Below are 17,993 nucleotides of genomic sequence, written 5' to 3' on the forward strand. Positions count from 1 at the left end.
TTTTATTTTTTGAAATTTTGTTATTGAATTAATTTTTAGTAAGATGCTAAAGTAGGGAATAAAACAAATACAGAAAATTTCTTCCTGTTCATTGAGTTATGTTTTCCCTTAGGTAGGGCCCTTTGTCTATTATATATCTCCTCCTTCCCTCCCTCCCCTTTTCTTTCTTTCTCTTCTTCCTTCCTTTTCTCCTTCTCTCTCTGTTTTTATTTCTTACTGAATTCTTCCCTGTACTTTATTTATACAAAAACATAATTTATTTTCATCTTGCTCATGCTTGGGGATTTCTTTCCAAAACTTCTATTTGCTCTGATACAATACTGTGACATTTTAAATGTTAATATTTACAACTCTATCTGAGACTTGCTTGTTTTCCTCTCTGAGCGACAGCTTAACGGTAATTATTTGTGTTTTATCTACACAGCTCTTAGGAGAAGGCCCATATAATTGCTAAAGTGGTATAATTTTTGTTGCTGTTGTTGGAATATTTGCTTCTGTTCTTACTTGGTAAATAGTCAAATTTTCTTTACCAAGATTCACTTTACATAATTGGAGGGCATATATGATTTCATGGAGGGATATCTTCCAAGTTTCTGTTTCATTCGAAATGTGTTGGGCAGCCCTGAAATCCGTTGTGTGACAGAATTCCTGCTTTATTTTTCTTTTCTTCATTTATCCCAACCTTATTCCCAATACTCATTCCCTTACTACTCAGTTGAAAAAAGAAAAAGAAAGGATGCCGAGACAGTTTAAGTTGTTCCAAATTTGGAAATACTTTTATTTCTTCAAAATTTTTCCCAGGAAATATAAAAATGGTTCACAATCAATTCTTACCAGAATATTCCATTTCTTTCCTTGTTTTGTTTGTTTCTTAATTGGTTGGTTGATTTAATTGGCTTTTTGTATTTTTCTTGTTTGTTATTGTTGTTATTGTGATTTATCATGTTTTTCATTCGTCATTGTGGAAAAGAGGTTCTATGACACGGCTTCAGTCGGCCATTTTAACCTGAACATTTCTCTTTATCTCAGCTTGAAATGCACCTCAAAAAAGGAAACCTTATATTGCATAAACCCAGTAAAATTTCTTAGCCTACTCTTCAAGGCAAGCTGATATTTTATATGAAATATTTCAACAGGATTATAGCTAAGGGTGACTTTTTTATATAACAGTAAGCAAAGGAAATAACTTTTTCCATTATTTTTCTCTTGTGGTAATTTCAATATCTCATTTCATTGCATTATAGTTGCCCTTGCAGAGGAGTTTTTATTGTGTTTTGTTTAAATAAAAAAAATTACGTAACTCAGTTATCTCTTCAAGAGTGCAATTTTCAGGATTTGCTTTACAGCCTCACAGACTAATTTTTTTGTTTGATATTATTTTCATTCAAATCTAAGAAATGGGAATTAAAACTCAGACAGAGATATGAGGACTTCTAGATTTCTTCTGCACAAACCAATCAGAGAAAGTAAAACATAATTCTCCTTACTTTTAAAAGGATTTTTTAAAGTGGCCCCTATGTGCAAGGATTATTCTCCTTTCATTTTCCTGTTGAAATTTATTAAAACTATTTTGAACAAAGCTCTTGATATTTTACTATAGGACACATCCCTACATTAATTCTAAGGAAACAGGAAAAAGGCTCTAACAGCTGTTCCCCTTCTTTACCTCAATCTCAGCTCAGTAGGATATTCTGTTGCTTTTCTTTCTACAGTGCACATGATAAAGAGTTTCAGGGTGATTTTAGAAAACCTAACAGCATCTGGAGGTGTCAGTGTTCTTGGTAGCAATTTGGTTTGAAAGGGAATATATACTGAGATTTGAACCCACTCAAACTTCAGGTAATCCAAGGTTAGAATTAAGTACAATTTTGTTCAGTACAAAGCTCTGGGTAATGAGAGAACAGCAATTTACTTTTCCAATTCACTAAAAGAAATTTTCAAGAAACTTTAAAAGGAAGGGTCAGGTAAGCTTTTAAAACTCAAATGGTTAATCCAAAGTAACTCTTGAACTCTTCAGTTTAGCTAGACTGCAAAAACTGGACCACGTCCTTAAATATAGAAATAATAGACCAAAAGAAGTCAAGAAAAGAGCCTACTGGTCTCAAGGAGTAGACAACTGATGACAAAGTAAGAAAAAAGTTCACTACAGAAGATGTGAAATGGCTACCTTTATAAGGCATACTTAGAACTTTTCAGAATAAACGCTTTTAAAAATATTTTAAATAATTTAAAAAGTATATATCAGGCTGGGCACGGTGGCTCACACCTGTAATCCCTGCACTTTGGGAGGCCAAGGCGGGCGGATCACGAGGTCAGGAGATCGAGACCATCCTGGCTAACACGGTGAAACCCCGTCTCTACTAAAAATACAAAAAATTAGCCGGGCGTGGTGGTGGGTGCCTGTAGTGTCAGCTACTCGGGAGGCTGAGGCAGGAGACTGGTGTGAACCCGGGAGGCAGAGCTTGCATTGAGCTGAGATTGCATCACTGCACTTCAGCCTGGGAGACAGAGCGAGACTCCGTCTCAAAAAAAAAAAAAAAAAAGTATATATCAAATTTGTTTCTGATTCCAAGGAAAGGTTCTGAAAAAAATATTTGAAAACTCACAAATGGCCTGCCACAGGGAATAATTCCCACGGTATACGTGTCACTGAATTGGTCCCCATGATTGACCTGCCAGTTCCTGTAGCCACAAAACTCTGAACTTGTGGACAGATCTATGGCAAAGCAGTGATGTTTTTCTATCCTAGCGTCAATACATTTAGGTTAAATATCAAGCAACTGTGCATTTTTAATGGATTAAGTCATTCCTGAGGTTATGGTAAGCAATGCGTAAAAAAAGTAGTTATTTCATTATTCACAATTGGCAAATGATGAATACTTCAAAGGAAAGTTTAGTTGGAGTCATTGTATATATAGTATTGATTTTGAATAATAATTCCAAAGAGTGCAGATGACATGAAAATGTGCAAAGTATATCGCACAAGGCAAATGAGGAGAGAATGGATAAACGTGAAAATGAGAACAGGGAGCACTGATCCAAAAATTGCATTTGAAGTCTGTGTGATGTAAATAGCAAGGCTGCTGTCTTTACATGTTCTGCAGCAGAGAGATGTCACATCTAATTCCCTATTCAAAGTGGCTTCAGTTCACCCAGCAACATTATCAGTAATTACAAGGAGAAAGAATCACTCACATTATGAAAACCCAGGCTCTGGCAAAAAGGCCTCTGTTAGGATCCAACCTGGTTCGTCCTGATGAAGGACCTGTTCCAGAACAAGAAGGGCTCCTTGTGTTTGAATCAGGTCTTTCCTCTCTTGCTGCTATGCGATGGAGAGTGTTCTGCCTAATGCAAATTCACCAGGGTAGCCCAAGAATTAGCAAGAATTCTACATTTATATTGGAACAATCTCTCCAATTGTGCTTTTGAAAAAGCACTACTCATATAGATTCTTGTTGCTTCTAATTTATTCATTTCATTTCTTCAGATATTGTGGGTTAAAAATGTCCCAAATGAAACTGTTACTGACACGTAGATAATTTTTCACTTTGTTAAGCAGAATTCTGCTTTTTAGTGCCTGGTTATAGACTAAACACAACTCAATAGTAAGTGCAACTCAACAGATCCGCAGACCCAGTGGGTTTCCTATTACCCTTTGCTTTTCCAGTATGACAAAACCTCGAAGACTGTAGGTTATTTCACCAAGTTTCAAAATTGTGCAAATGCTGCTTCTAGTAACATTTCTCAAGCTCATTTTGCTGCCTTTTGTCTCCCCAAACAGAGCCTCAACTGCTGCACACATATCATAGCACACAAAACTCTTCTGTCTGTGCAATCAGTAGCAGATAGATACTCTAGACTTAGAAGTCTCCAAGAAAAAGACATGTCATTCACTTCTATGTCACCAGCTTCTGGATTAGGATCTGTGTTGCAGTAGGTATCCTCCCCATCCCCCAACACATACATACTCAACAGAAGAAAACAAAAACCCAAAACTAATAATGTATTGAATGAGTTAATGAAGACATGGAAGAGGAGGAAATGAGACTAATTCAGGAAGTCGGGAAAGACATTCTTGAGAGGGTGAAGCTTGAACTAAGATCTGAAAGAAAGTAGGATTTAACTGGGTGAAGGAAAATGAGGAAAAAAACAAAAGATTTTTCCTGTCCATTAAATTAAGACCCCAAAATCCTATTGACAACCTCATAGGGTTTAAGATAGAGCCACTCATAATAGTAGAATGAACTGGGTCATGGTGCCTCCATGCTAACCTGTGGCTGAGGCTACTGACCTTCAGCCCTCCATTCATGAGTACCGGGTCTCTCTTCTTACAACATCACTTTTGTATACTCAATTTCTGATACAGATAGGGTTCTTTCTTCTGCCCTGGAAAAGCCCTGTTGTAACACCACACTTGTCTCTGTGTTACTATCATGAAGTCCTGTTCCATCAAAGTTTCTTCAGCAATCTCAACTTGATTCCCTTTTGTTTTAACCATTTTCTTCATCTCGATGGTAGTTTCCTATGGATATATTCTGTTATTTGCAGGAAGAACTGCAGATATAACTAGGTACCTACTTCTATATATTTTCCCATTTTCAGTCATACAACTGATACAAGTGATATTCCATCACTCTTCTCTGATTACTGGTTTCTTCACTAAACTGTTTTCTGCATTTCCTGGTGAACAATTTTATTGCTCGAACAAAATGCAGAAATTTCTTTTTGTGAAGGCTTTGCCTGGCCTGTTTGGTGGGGCTTGGGTTATTTGATAGGCTGTGGATCCTGAACACATATTCTTCCTCCATGGGTAAGACCAGAGTTTGCAGGAACACCTTGCTTTTTCTGCCCTCTTGCTAAGAATAAGCTACCATTGCCTTTGAGCAGCCGCCATACACAATAACCATCACCAAAGACTGCAGGGCACCATACATTCACATCCACTCCTGGAGTTTTGGGAGGATGGAGGTTCTGCTAAAATGGCACACTCATGTGGAAATATAATCCCACAGATAAAGAATAAAAGAGGTAGAAGGAAGAACAGGTCAGCATGTTTCTTTGACTAGGGAAACTTAAATTCCTAACTTCAGAGACCAGGCTAGCCCAAGATTCATTTCTGGACCTCTTTTACAATGGAAATTCTTCATAACAAGAAAAACTAAAAATCCGATATTTACTATTCAAAAGTGGCCCCTTTTATATTTATTGTGATTATATTAATATTTATGTTTACTTCAATATATTCAATATATACACATGTATTAAGTGTTTAGAGTGTCGGGGTTAACACACATTTATAAAATGATACATTATCTGAATTCAGAGAATTTACAATCTACATAAGGAGATATAAATCAAATAATTGCACACACATATGAAATTTCAATATGTAATTATGACTGTGTATAAACAGTAGCTTGGTGAGAGAAGAGATAATGATTAACTCAGGAAGAGAGAAAGTAAGTCTTGAGAAAAGGAAGCTGGAACTGAGATCTGAAGGAAAATGAAAATTAACTAAGTGACAAGATATGTTTTGCAGTGTCACCACCCAATTCTCATCTTGAACTGTAGCTCCCACAATTCCCATGTGTAATGGAAGGGATCTGGTGGGAGGTAATTGAATCATGGATCTTTCCCATGCTGGTCTTGTGATAGTGAATAAGTCTCAAGATCTCTGATGGTTTTATAAAGAGGAGTTCCCCTGCACAAGTTCTCTCTCTTTGCCTGCCGCCATCCATGTACGACATGACTTGCTCCTCCTTGCCTTCCATCATGATTGTGAGGCCTGCCCAGCCATGTGGAAGTGTGAGTCCATTAATCCTCTTTCCTTTATAAATTACCTGGTCTTGGGTATGTCTTTATTAGTGGCATGAGAACAGACTAATACAGTAAATTGGTACTGGTAGAGTGGGTACCAATTTACTGCTGCTGTAAAGATACCCAAAAATGTGGAGGTGACTTTGGAACTGGGTAACAGGCAAAGGCTGGACCAGTTTGGACAGCTCAGGAGAATATAAGAAAATGTGGGAAAGTTTGGAACTTCCTAGAGACTTGTTGAATGGCTTTGACCAAAATGTTGATAATGATATGGACAATGAAATCCAGGCTGAGGTGGTCTCAGATAGAGATGAGCAACTTGTTGGTAACTGAAGTAAAGGTGACTGTTGCTGTGTTTTAGAAAGAGACTGGTGGCATTTTCCCCTGCCCTAGAAACCTGTGGAACTTTGAACTTGAGGGAAATGATTTAGGGTATCTGGTAGAAGAAATTTCTAAGCAAAAAAGCATTCAAAAATGATTTGGGTGCTGTTAAAAGCATTCAGTTTTAAAAGGGAAACAGAAAATAAAAGTTCAGAAATTTGCAGCCTGATGATGTGATAGAAAAAAAAAACAAAACACACACCTATTTTCCGAGAAGAATTCAAGCTGACTGCAGAAATTTGCATAAGGAGGAGCCAACTGTTAATCACCAAGACAAAGGAGAAAATGTCTCCAGGGCATGTCACAGGGCTTCACAGCAGCCCCTCCCATCACAGGCCAGGAGGCCTAGGAGAAATAAATGGTTTCACAGGCTGGGCCTAGGGCCCCCCTGCTCCGTACAGCCTGGGGACTTGGTGGCCTGCATCCCAGCCACTTCAGCCACAGCTAAAAAGAGCTAAGGTATAGCTCAGGCTGTTGCTTCAGAGGGTGTGAGCCCCAAGCCTTGGCAACTTCCACATAGTGTTGAGACTGCGGGTGCACAGAAGTCAAGAACTGAGGTTTGGGAACCTCTGCCTAGATTTCAGAGAATGTATGGAAATGCCTAGATGCTCAGGCAGAAGTTTGCTGTAGGGGTGGGGTCCTCATGGAGAACCTCTGCTAGGGCAGTACTGAAAGGAAATGTGGAGTTGGAGCCCCGGCACAGAGTCCCTACTAGGGCACCACCTAGTGGAGCTATGAGAAGAGGGCCTCCATCTTCCAAACCCCAGAATGGTAGATCCACCAACTGCTTCCACTGTGCACCTAGAAAAGCTGCAGACATTCAATGCCAGCCTGTGAAAGCAGCTGGGAGGGAGGCTATACCCTTCAAAACCACAGGGGTAGAGATGCCCAAGGCCATAGGAGCCCATCTCTTGCATCAGTGTGACCTGGATATGAAACATGGAGTCAAAGAATATCACTTTGGAGCTTTGAGATTTGACTGTCCCACTGGATTTCAGACTCTCATAGGACCTTCAGCCCCTTCATTTTGGCCAATTTCCCCTATTTGAAAAGGGTATATTTATCCAATGCCTGTACTTCCATTGTATCTAGGTAGTAACTAGCTTGATTTTGATTTTACAGGCTCATAGGTGGACATGACTTGCCTTGTCTCAGATGAAACTTTGGACTGTGGACTTTTGAGCTAATGTGGAAATTAGTTAAGACTTTGGGGGACTGTTGGGAAGGCATGATTGGTTTTGAAATGTGATGACATCAGATTTGGGAGGGACTGGGGCAGAATGGTATGGTTTGACTGTGTCCCTACCCAAATCTCATCTTTAATTGTACCTCCCACAATTCGCACATGTCAAGGGAGGGACCCAGTGGGAGGTAATTGAATCATGGAGGCGGGACTTTCCCATGCTCTTCTCATGAGAGTGAATAAGCCTCACAAGATCTGATGGTTGTAAAAAGAGGTGTTCCCCTGCGCAAGTTCTCTCTCTTTGCCTGCCACCATCCATGTAAGATATGACTTGCTCCTCCTTGCCTTCTGCCATGATTGTGAAGCCTCCCCAGCCATGTGGAACTGTGAGTCCATTAAACCTCTTTCCTTTATAAATTACACAGTCTTGGGTATGTCTTTATCAGCAGCATGAGAACAGCCTAATACATGACGGAAAGATGGAAGAGCATTCAAAGACAGTAGCATGTAGAAAAGCCCTTTGACATCACTGAAAATTGTAATGGAAGGCAGTAATTCCTGGAGAATAAACTGTCACATAAAACACAGTACTAAATAAAGCCACAGCAGAAATAGAAATATGCATGCAGGGCCTGGCTGTCCCTGTTTAGAAACTTTATCTTAATCCTACAATCACTGGAAGGACGTTAAAGGGATTTTAAGCCTGTGGTTTCCCTCATGGAAAGATACATTGGCTGCTCCCTGTAGAGTGAGTTAATACTTCCCTATATGGCAACATGGTGGACTAGATATTGTAAATATCCTCTGAAGTATGCATAACATTAAAACATAGCTAAATTTACAGAAAGAAATACAAACTCCAGGTTTTAAAAAAGTGACAAGGGGAAATGAAAATCAGTGTAACAAGCTCACACTGATGATCCACCTTCCTAGAAAGATTTACTGTTCTGTGTAACCTATAGGTTTAATTTTAATGACTTATTGGGAGAGAGAGATAGGAGAGTAATTCTCATGTCTTTGTATGATTCAAATAAGAAAATTAAAAGTAACTAGAAAATATGTAAAGAAATAATGAAATGCTCCTTATCAGGTTGTTCTAAACTTCAGATTTTTTTATCTTTTAGCTAACCTCTTACTAAAATCAAATGGTTAAGTTATATAAAATAAACACACACACACACACTCTGACACTCACATTCACTCACACACACACACAAATATATATTCCTTAGAAATTTACCAAGGATTCACATTGTGAGTGTGCAAGGTTCTGAAAAGAAAGGAGACTCTTTGATGGATGCCCAACATCCCAGGCTAATTCTTCCCTGAAGGCATTTGGTGATTCTTAAGCAGTGCCTAGGGAGCAGCTAAGCACCGTTTATGAGGCAGCATTTCTCACCTCCTCACACTAACTCCAGCTCCATCTTACAGAAGCTGTATTCCAGGAAAGAATGGCTCCCTTTCTTCTCTCAGCCTACACTCATAAGGTGAAGCTCTACCCCAGGAGTGGAAAGCAGAGAACGCTGGACCACAATTACCCTTGCCTCAGCTTACTTAAAGAATGGAGGCCCCACGTCATGAATGGTGAGCCATGAAGCCCAGAGGCTACAGCACCCTGCTTGTAAGGCACAGATGTCATTCTGAGAGAAGATATTATCTGAAATATCCAATTTTCAACAAAAATTATGAAACATGCAATGAAATGAAAAAGTGTAACTTACACAGTGAAATAAAGAATGATAAGCAATAGGAACGGCCTTTGAGCAGCTATTATAAATATGTTAAAAGAACTAAATAAGCCACATTTAAAGAAGTAAAGAAGATATAATGACAATGTCTCCTCAAATAAAGAATATTAATAAAGAGATAGTTTTCTTTTTAAAAAAAGGGAAATATATAGAACCTCAGAGAAGTATGAGACACCACTAAGTGCATATACATGTAATGGGAATACCAGAAGTACAGAAGTGAGAGAAAGTAGAACAAAAATTATTCAAATACATAACGGATAAGAAAATTAATATACAAATTATTTATTAAAATAATTAAATATTAATTAATTTTAAAATTATTAAAATAAATTTGTATATTAATTATGCATTATTTATTTATTGACTTAAGAAACTCAACTAATTAACTGTAAGCAGAATAAATCCAAAGATACTCACACACAGATATATCCTGATAAAAATGTTGAAGGCCAATGATAAGAAAATCTGAAAAAGAGCAGGAGAAAAATGACTTATGAAAAAGTCAATCCCAGTAAGATTGGTCAATTTCTTATAAGAAACTATGAAGGACAAAATGCAGTGGGATGATATCTTTAAAGGGCTTTAGGAAGAAGGAGTAGAGTGGGGAAGAATTGTCACCTCAGCCCAGAATCTCATATAGCAAATTCTCATTAAAAAGTGAAAAAATAACAGAGATTTCATTGCTATCAAACTAACTTTATAATAAATACTAAATGAAGTTCTTCAGGCTGAACAAGTGATCCTAGAAAGTAATTTGCCTTTGAGCAGCTATTATAAATATGTTAAATATTTAAATGTTAAATAAATATATATTTATACACACATACATGCACACATACACAGACATACACACACATACAGAGAGTGCTGGCAACAGTAATTGTGTAGGTAATTTAAAACACTGTTAGCTACATATTTCTTACCCTTTCTTCTCTTAACTGATTTAAAAAGCAATTATATAACATGATATGTATATCACTGTGCTGCTGGGCCTATAATCTATAGCTATTTAATACATTTGCCAATAACAGAACAAAGGAGTTGGGTACGAGCAAAGTTGTATTTGAGTAAAGAAATGACATGATATAACTAGAATTCACAGGAACAAATACACAGAACTGGTAACATTTTTCTAATATAAACTCTATAAATATATACTTTCTCTCCTTTCTTCTCTCAACATCTTTAAAAAACCTATAATTATCTAAAGTAAAACTACAATGATGTACTCTATTTATAATATATAGATGTAGCATGCATAAAAATAGCACAGAAAATGCTAAAAAAAAATAGAAATAACGCTCATAGGCCTCACTGGAATTAAGTTGGTGTAACTCTGAAGTAGATATTGATAAGAAACTAGAATAAGTCCTAAGAGAAGGAACCTTAGAAAAAGAAAACTTTAAAAAATATAGTGCACAAATTGTTTATAAATTAAAATGTTATTTACACTTAATGCAAAAAAACCAGTAATGCAGTCAGAGGAACATAAAAAGACATGTAATATGTAAAAAAAAAACAGAATAAAATGACAGATATAAATCCAAATCTATCAATAATAACACTATATTAGATTATAAGATTCTAGATTATGTAGATTAGATTATAATTATCTCTAAAATAGATAATTCTGTGAAAATGTCAACAAAATTCATAAAACTTTAGCTAGATTGTCCAATAAAGATGGATAAAAGGCTCAGCTACTAGAATTAGAGATGACAGAAAAAATGTAACTGCTGACCATGCAAAAATATAAATGATCATAGGAGAATACAATGGACATGAAATGAAATAAAAGATGAAAATTATAGAAATAAAAACTACTAACTCAAAATGAAATAGAAAATCTGAACACAAAGAAAGATTGAACAGTAATTTTTAAAACTTTCACAATGAAAAATTCAGGCCCAGATCACCTCACTGGTAAATTGTACAACATATTTAAAAAATAGATTCAGAGGTGACTGGGTGTGGTGGCTCATGCCAGTAATCCTCGCACTATGGAGGCTGAGGAGGGTGGATCGCTTGAGGTCCAGAGTTCAAGACCAGCTTGGCCAATACGGTGAAACCCCGTCTCTACTGAAAATACAAAAATTAGCTGGATGTGATGGCACATGCCTGTAATCCCAGCTACTTGGGAAGCTGAGGCATGAGAATCGCTTGAATCCAGGAGGTGGAGGCTACAGTCAGCAGACACTGAACCACTGCACTCCAGCCTGAGCAACAGAGCAAGACACTGTATTTAAAAAAACAAACAAACAAAAAAAACTCAAAAAATAGATTCGGGAGTACTGTGCAGTTTTTTTACATGGACATACTGCATAATCGTGGGGTTTGGGCTCCAACCCAAATACTGAACATCATATCCACGTTGTACCCAATAGGTAATTTTTCAACCCTTACCCCTCTTCTACTCTCTCCCTTTTCGGAGTCCCCAGTGTCTATTATTTTTCTCTGAATGTTCAAAATTTTATGAAATATTTAAGGAATAATTAATACCAATTCTTCAAAAACTCTTCTAAAAACTAGAAGAGGAAATACTTCCCAATTTATTCTATAAGGCCAGTACTTCCTGGCACCAAAACCAGTACACCCTTGTTTTTCCTTCTCCTTACAAGAAAAGGAAACCACAGAGCAGTATTTCATTTGAATATAGGTAGGAAAATCCTCAACAAGAGTCTAGTAAACTAAATGCAAAAATATATATAAGATGAATTACACATGATGAGCAACTGAGATTTCTTCCACGATCACAAGGTTGGTTTAATAACCAAAATCAATTAACATAATAAACCATATCAATAGAATTAGAGACAAAAACTACATGATTATCCATCTTGATATATGCAGAAAAAGCACCTTGAAAAATCCAATATCCTTATGATTAAAAATAATCTCAACAAATTAAATATAAAATGGATTTTTTTTTAAATTTTAAACTCCATCTACAACAAATCCACGTGGAACTTCATACTTGGTGGTGAAAGACTTAAGGCTTTGCCCCTAAATCAGGCACGAGACAAGGATGTATGCCCTTGTCATTTATTTTCAATATTTTACTGGAGGTATTAGCCAGGACTATTGGAAAAGAAAAATAAATAAAATTCACCCAACTTGGAAAAATTAAAACTAAAAGTATCTCCATTTGCAGAGAACATGATATTTTATACAGAAAATCTTAAGGAATCCACTACTATACACTAATATTATATGGTGATAATTTAGCAAGGTTGCAGGGCACAAGGCCAATATACAAAATAATCAAAAGTATTTCCATATACTAGCAATGAATAATCTGAAAATGATAGTAAGAAAATAATTTCATTTACAATAACATCAAAAACTTAAATATTTAGGAAAAGATGTAATAAAAGAAGCAGAAACTTGTACTCTGAAAACTATGAAACACCACAGAAAGAAATTAATGACATCCAGACAAACCTGAATATAAATAAAATGAATTATTTTATATGATATACTGAATACAATACACTGAATTGACACAAGAAAATAGATCTGTAATCGTTAAACTATTTGCATCTATAATTGAACATATTCCAATGACAAATGGTCTAGAAATTTTAAAGGTGAGTTCAGTTAAACATCTCAACATTAGAAAAAATATAAGGCCAATCTCATGAAAAATAAAAATGGGAGTCTTCCATAAAACATGTTGTGATACTAATATAGGTTTTATTCCATGAGCAGAAAGGAACATTTTAAGTCAATTTCAATTATGAGGTTAAATATTAATATCAATTGTAGCAAAACTAAAAATTAGCCAATACAAAGCAGTTAATATAGAGAAAACATGTAATTAAATCTGGTCTATCAAAGTGATTTATTAATTGGTTTCCATTGGAAAATATTTACATGTTATTCACCACCATATAAACACATAAAATAATGTTTAACCTCAAGAATAATTAGAGAATTTTAAGCCAGTGATACACCTTCATAAGCAAGAGTTAGTAAGACTGAAAACTAACAAATTTAAGTTATGAAAAAATGAGAACCCATATACTTACAGTGGAAGTATAAATTAGTACAACCTCAATAATCTTTTAGTTAAATATGGTTTAAAGATATGCATATTTTGTGGCCCAAGCAATTTTTCCCCTAAATCTATGCTACCAGAGAAACTCCTGCAAACCAATACTAGAGATGTGTTTAAGGGATGTTATTAGTAGCTTCAACTATAATAGCAAAAGAGTGAAACAAACTAGGTGTTCACCAACTAGGGGAATAAATTAATAAACTGTGATATATAGAAATACTTTAATAATGTACAGTAATCATTATAACATACAGCAATCACAAACTAGAAAGATACATGTTTTTCCAGTTACTATGGTTTCAGAACATATTTCTATAATACTTAGTGATGTAAAACAACCATTTATCATGCTCTTGGTTTTAATGTGTCAGAATTTAAACAAAGCATGGGGGATATGGTTGATCTCTTCTCTACTTCGTCTGATGCCTTAGTTGGAAGACTAGAGGGCTGGGGACCATTATCATCCACAGGCATGCTCACTTACAAGGCCACCAAGGCTGGCTGTCAGCTGATACCTCGGTTACTCTCCATTAGGCCTCTTCATGTAGTCTTGTCACACCACCTACTTTGGTTTCCTCATTTCGCAGTGGCTGGTTTCCCTTAAGCAACCATCCCAATATTGAGGGCAGAATGATTTACTTCAGAAATCACAAAGCATCATTTCTGCTGTACTCTTTTAGTAAGAGCAATCCAAAGTTCCCCACCCAGATTCAGGAGGAGGGGACCCCCAGACATCTCTCAAGAGGAGTATCAAAGTCACATGGTAAGAAGAGCACATAAGATGGAAAAGACAGTCACAGCCATTTAGGAAAACAAAATCTGCCAAACATCTTAATTGGCACAAAAACAATTTTGAGTGGAAAAAGTAATTTACAGCACAGTATAATTCCACTTATGTAGAGGGTTTAAATATATGCATATATACATATGTATGCATATATTTAAACATGCCCACATATATTTAAAGGAAAAAAGGAATGCAATAAAAATGATCAACAAGAAATCAAAGAAGATATTATCTTTGGGAATGTGGGAGGGAGAAATATGCAATTGCGAAGGAATATACAAGAAACCCATCATAATATGCAAATGTTTCATTTCTTAAGTTAGGTTTCATGGGCATTCATTATAGCATATTATTATATGTGGGGGATAAACTCCAAAGGAATTTGAATTTAGTTAGCTATGAGGTATTATGGAAAGGGAAATGCCAAGGATGCATTCTAGGCGTAGCACTTAGAGAGGTGATTACACAGTAATGTCCTGCACACACAAAAAAGATACAGATATTCAATTGGAGGAAAAGAAAAATGCCCATAGCAAATATTGAGGTAGACATAGATAGAAGAACAGAGAGACATATACAGACACAGACATTGGCGTAGTTCATCAACTAAAGCCCTTGGATCAGTCTTTACAGGCAATATGATCCTACAAAGAAATCACCAAATTTCTGGAAGTTATCCTGAGATTTAAAATGCTTGTAGTTCAATAATATCATGTGATCATCAAGGTGACACTGCAAAATTTCTGCTCTGATGAGTGTTCGAAGAAATAGAAAGGGCTGATCATTGCTTCAAAAGTGTTTATATTGATAACATGGCTAGTTATTTATGTGTGTCTGTCTGATTTGTAAACAGGTTTCCCCTGACAAAAATATCTTTTCCAGCATTAAGCATGTTGCTGGAAATTTCACCTCCAGAGATTATTTCCATTGGGTACGGCTCCTGAAATTCACTCTCAAAAGTCTTTCTTTGAAGATGCAGAGGTGGAACAACACTTAAATGGGACGATTCTTTATCCACATCAGTGTCACAATGGTAGACACTCAAGAGTAAGGTCACAGAGAAATAGTCTTCAACAGGAAAAAACTGAGAATACAAAGACCAGAACAAAACCAAAGGGTACAGATTTCTGACAGAGGAACAGATAAAGATCAAGGCATTTTTCTTTCACAATTTTTCTAAAGGAACATGTGCTTAGCAATCTTATCACAGGGTCAACATATATGGCTACAGATATTTAAACATGGCCAGCCCAAATATCTAAATTGAGTTTAGCAGCATGGGAGACGCGATTTCTTAAAAATATTTAGTACTGTGGAAATACGTGATACAGAGCTTTTTGGAAACCTATTTCAAGTCATACATACACAGTTAGAAAAGTGCCCATGGAATCTATACAAAGTTACATGAACAACTGCGTTGCTTTAGAAAAGGGGGAAAATGAGTTCAGAATCTATTATGTAGGTCATATATCAGTATTAATTGGTTTCAATGGGGTTTGTGTTAAAAAATAGAATCCATCTTCTTTAGAAAATAAAGATATTTCTTCTGTTTACATGTAAACTAGGACAGATTCCTTTATTGCGGATATAAAAACTAGGCTAAAAAAAGGCTACTCAAAAGAGGACATCTCCAAGTCTTCTTTCATTTCTTTTTTATTTAACCTGATGAAAAGAAAAAGAGAAGAAAAATATCATGGCTATAGGTGAGCAATAAAATAGCCATGAAGATACTATCTTCTTACTATCACAGGTTCACGGGTTTTGATAGAGGTATCCCCTTTATAATAATGGTTGCCTTTTGAAACGTATCTTAGTGTGAAAATCTTTAGTCACTAACGTGTGTCTCCTGGGGGGCGGGGCATGGGAACAAAACTTGAAAAAGATCACTTCCACATAAAGAGAACTATAAGTTGGCCAAGTAAACATGAATTAGATGTACAAAAATTACCAATTTCATAGCAAGACACTAAATATTTCTGTCAAAAGTTGTGGGGTGTTGCTGACTATAATTAAGCTTTAGCTTTACAGTAGTTTCACTTTCAAAAAAGACTATATGTATATAATATACTTAGTGTATAACTTTTGCCTTTTACACAGGCTTTTCTAAGAAAGAATAAAATACTGGCTGGAAAACCTTTCTTCAGTTATTTCTTGGTAGATTAATCTTCTCCTCAAAGTCCCAATAATAATTGTAATGCCTAATCCCTGAGAACAAGTCACTTCAGGTGGGAAATGGAAGCAGCTTGGGAATTCTTCGACAAGAAGAACCAGATTTAGATAAAAAAAATTCACTGTAGTCAAGGCCAGGGTGAAAATTCACAAAGCAAGTAACCTCTTATACACCCAGTCCTAAGTACAGACATCCATATGTGTATGTATGGCCCTCCTCCAGCCCTGTGCAGGGGGGTCTTTGGCCAATGCAACACTACCATCTCCCTTATAAGGTCTCTTCTGTGTGGCACAGGAAAAGCCAGCAGCTATATTTTCTTGAATTCTTTTCCTGGGATAGTTTGTCAATGAGAGGAAAATGTATACATTAGTAAGATGGAAAAGAAGCAGAAACTATCATTCTCAGGAGGCTGTTGCAGACAGATGTGTGCAGACTGAGATTCCCGACAGCATGACCATGCACTCGTGGAAGCCACTTGCTAACTGCTGCAGACTGAGGCGGTTAGTGAGAACTTCTAGGGTTTGTTTCTGTTTTGTTGTTGTTGTCGATGTTGTTTTTTAAGAATTGTAACAACTTCCCAGCATGCTTTTGCGAACTGTTTCAGTGTTTGCAGCTGAATTCCTGGTTGGTGGATCCCTTGCCCTGCAGCACTGGCTTCCACAACCTGTAGAGGCAGCTTCCTTGACTTCTGCTCCTTCAACACTTCCCAAATCATTTCAGTCTCTAATTCTGTGTTTACTCTTTTACACTCAAAATACAGTGAATGCCTTCTCTCTTCTTGACAGAACAATTACTTCTACAAGCCCTAGCGAGGATGAATTAAATCTTTCAAGGGTCCTACTCAATCCATGGTAAGATCCAACTAGTTCTCAATACCTACGCACCCCAGGATGAGTATCAGTCAAGAACTTGTAATCGAGTGTGTCTAATATCCCTCGGCACCAAACACGCCAGTTTATATTCTCCAGAGTATCACTAGGATTCAATCCTGAAACCGATTTTCTGACTTTCAATGAGATATAATAATGATATTGGGAGACAGAAAGAAGGGGAAGGCTAAGATTTCCCTGAAAGTAGTTTCTAGAAGTAGCAGCAGTCATAGCAACTGAGGATGCCTGTAAGTAGTGTAGAGCCCAGAAGCATTAATGGCAGGTATGGCAGCACAATGTGAGTAGAAACTTCCTTTTTTTTTTTTTTTGAGACGGAGTCTCGCTTTGTCGCACAAGCTGGAGTGCAGTGGTGTGATCTCAGCTCACTGCAACCTCCACCTCCCAGGTTCAAGCGATTCTCCTGCCTCAGCCTCCCAAGTAGCTGAGACTACTGGAGCACAAAGCCACACCCAACTAATTTTTGTCTTTTAGTAGAGATGGGGTTTCGCCATGTCAGGCTGGTCTCGAACTCCTGGCCTCAGGTGATCCACCCACCTCGGCCTCCCAAAGGGCTGAGATTACAGGCGTGAGCCACCGCACCTGGCCCAGACTTCTAATTTTCTAGTATAGGGCCACCAGTGTCAGTCCAACAGCAGGACCATAATGTGAATAGTGGCAGTACTATCACAGGCTCACGGGTTCCAGGGACAGCAGCAGCTTCCTGACTTGGGCATAACAACTGCCTTCTCTTCTTTACTCCTCAAACTCCCCTCTGTTCACTGTTTCTTTTTCAATTTTCCCAACATCTTTGCAGAACTCAGTTTAGACTGCCCACTCAAAACATGATAAACTCTATCTTCCACTACCTTCCCAGTATCGAATTTTTTTAAGGTTTTGTTTTTCACAGACTTGTTTCCCCCCCGCCACCGCCACCCTTTGGTTCTTTTATAATTGTAAATTAAATTTGTTCAAGCAGTT

At 36.9% G+C, this 17,993-nt stretch overlaps 1 long non-coding RNA gene across 5 annotated transcripts in view; it reads right to left on the bottom strand.

Moving 5' to 3' along the window:
• Positions 1–17,993, bottom strand: part of LINC02663 (long intergenic non-protein coding RNA 2663) — a 434,814-nt gene that overhangs the window by 231,649 nt on the left and 185,172 nt on the right. For all 5 annotated transcript variants that reach the window (XR_930643.2, XR_930644.2, XR_930645.3 and 2 more), the window contains one exon: positions 9,550–9,597. This is a non-coding gene — a long non-coding RNA (long intergenic non-protein coding RNA 2663). The remainder of the gene's footprint in view (positions 1–9,549; positions 9,598–17,993) is intronic.

Source organism: Homo sapiens, chromosome 10, assembly GCF_000001405.40.
Source record: "Homo sapiens chromosome 10, GRCh38.p14 Primary Assembly".
Taxonomy (NCBI): Eukaryota; Metazoa; Chordata; class Mammalia; order Primates; family Hominidae; genus Homo; species Homo sapiens.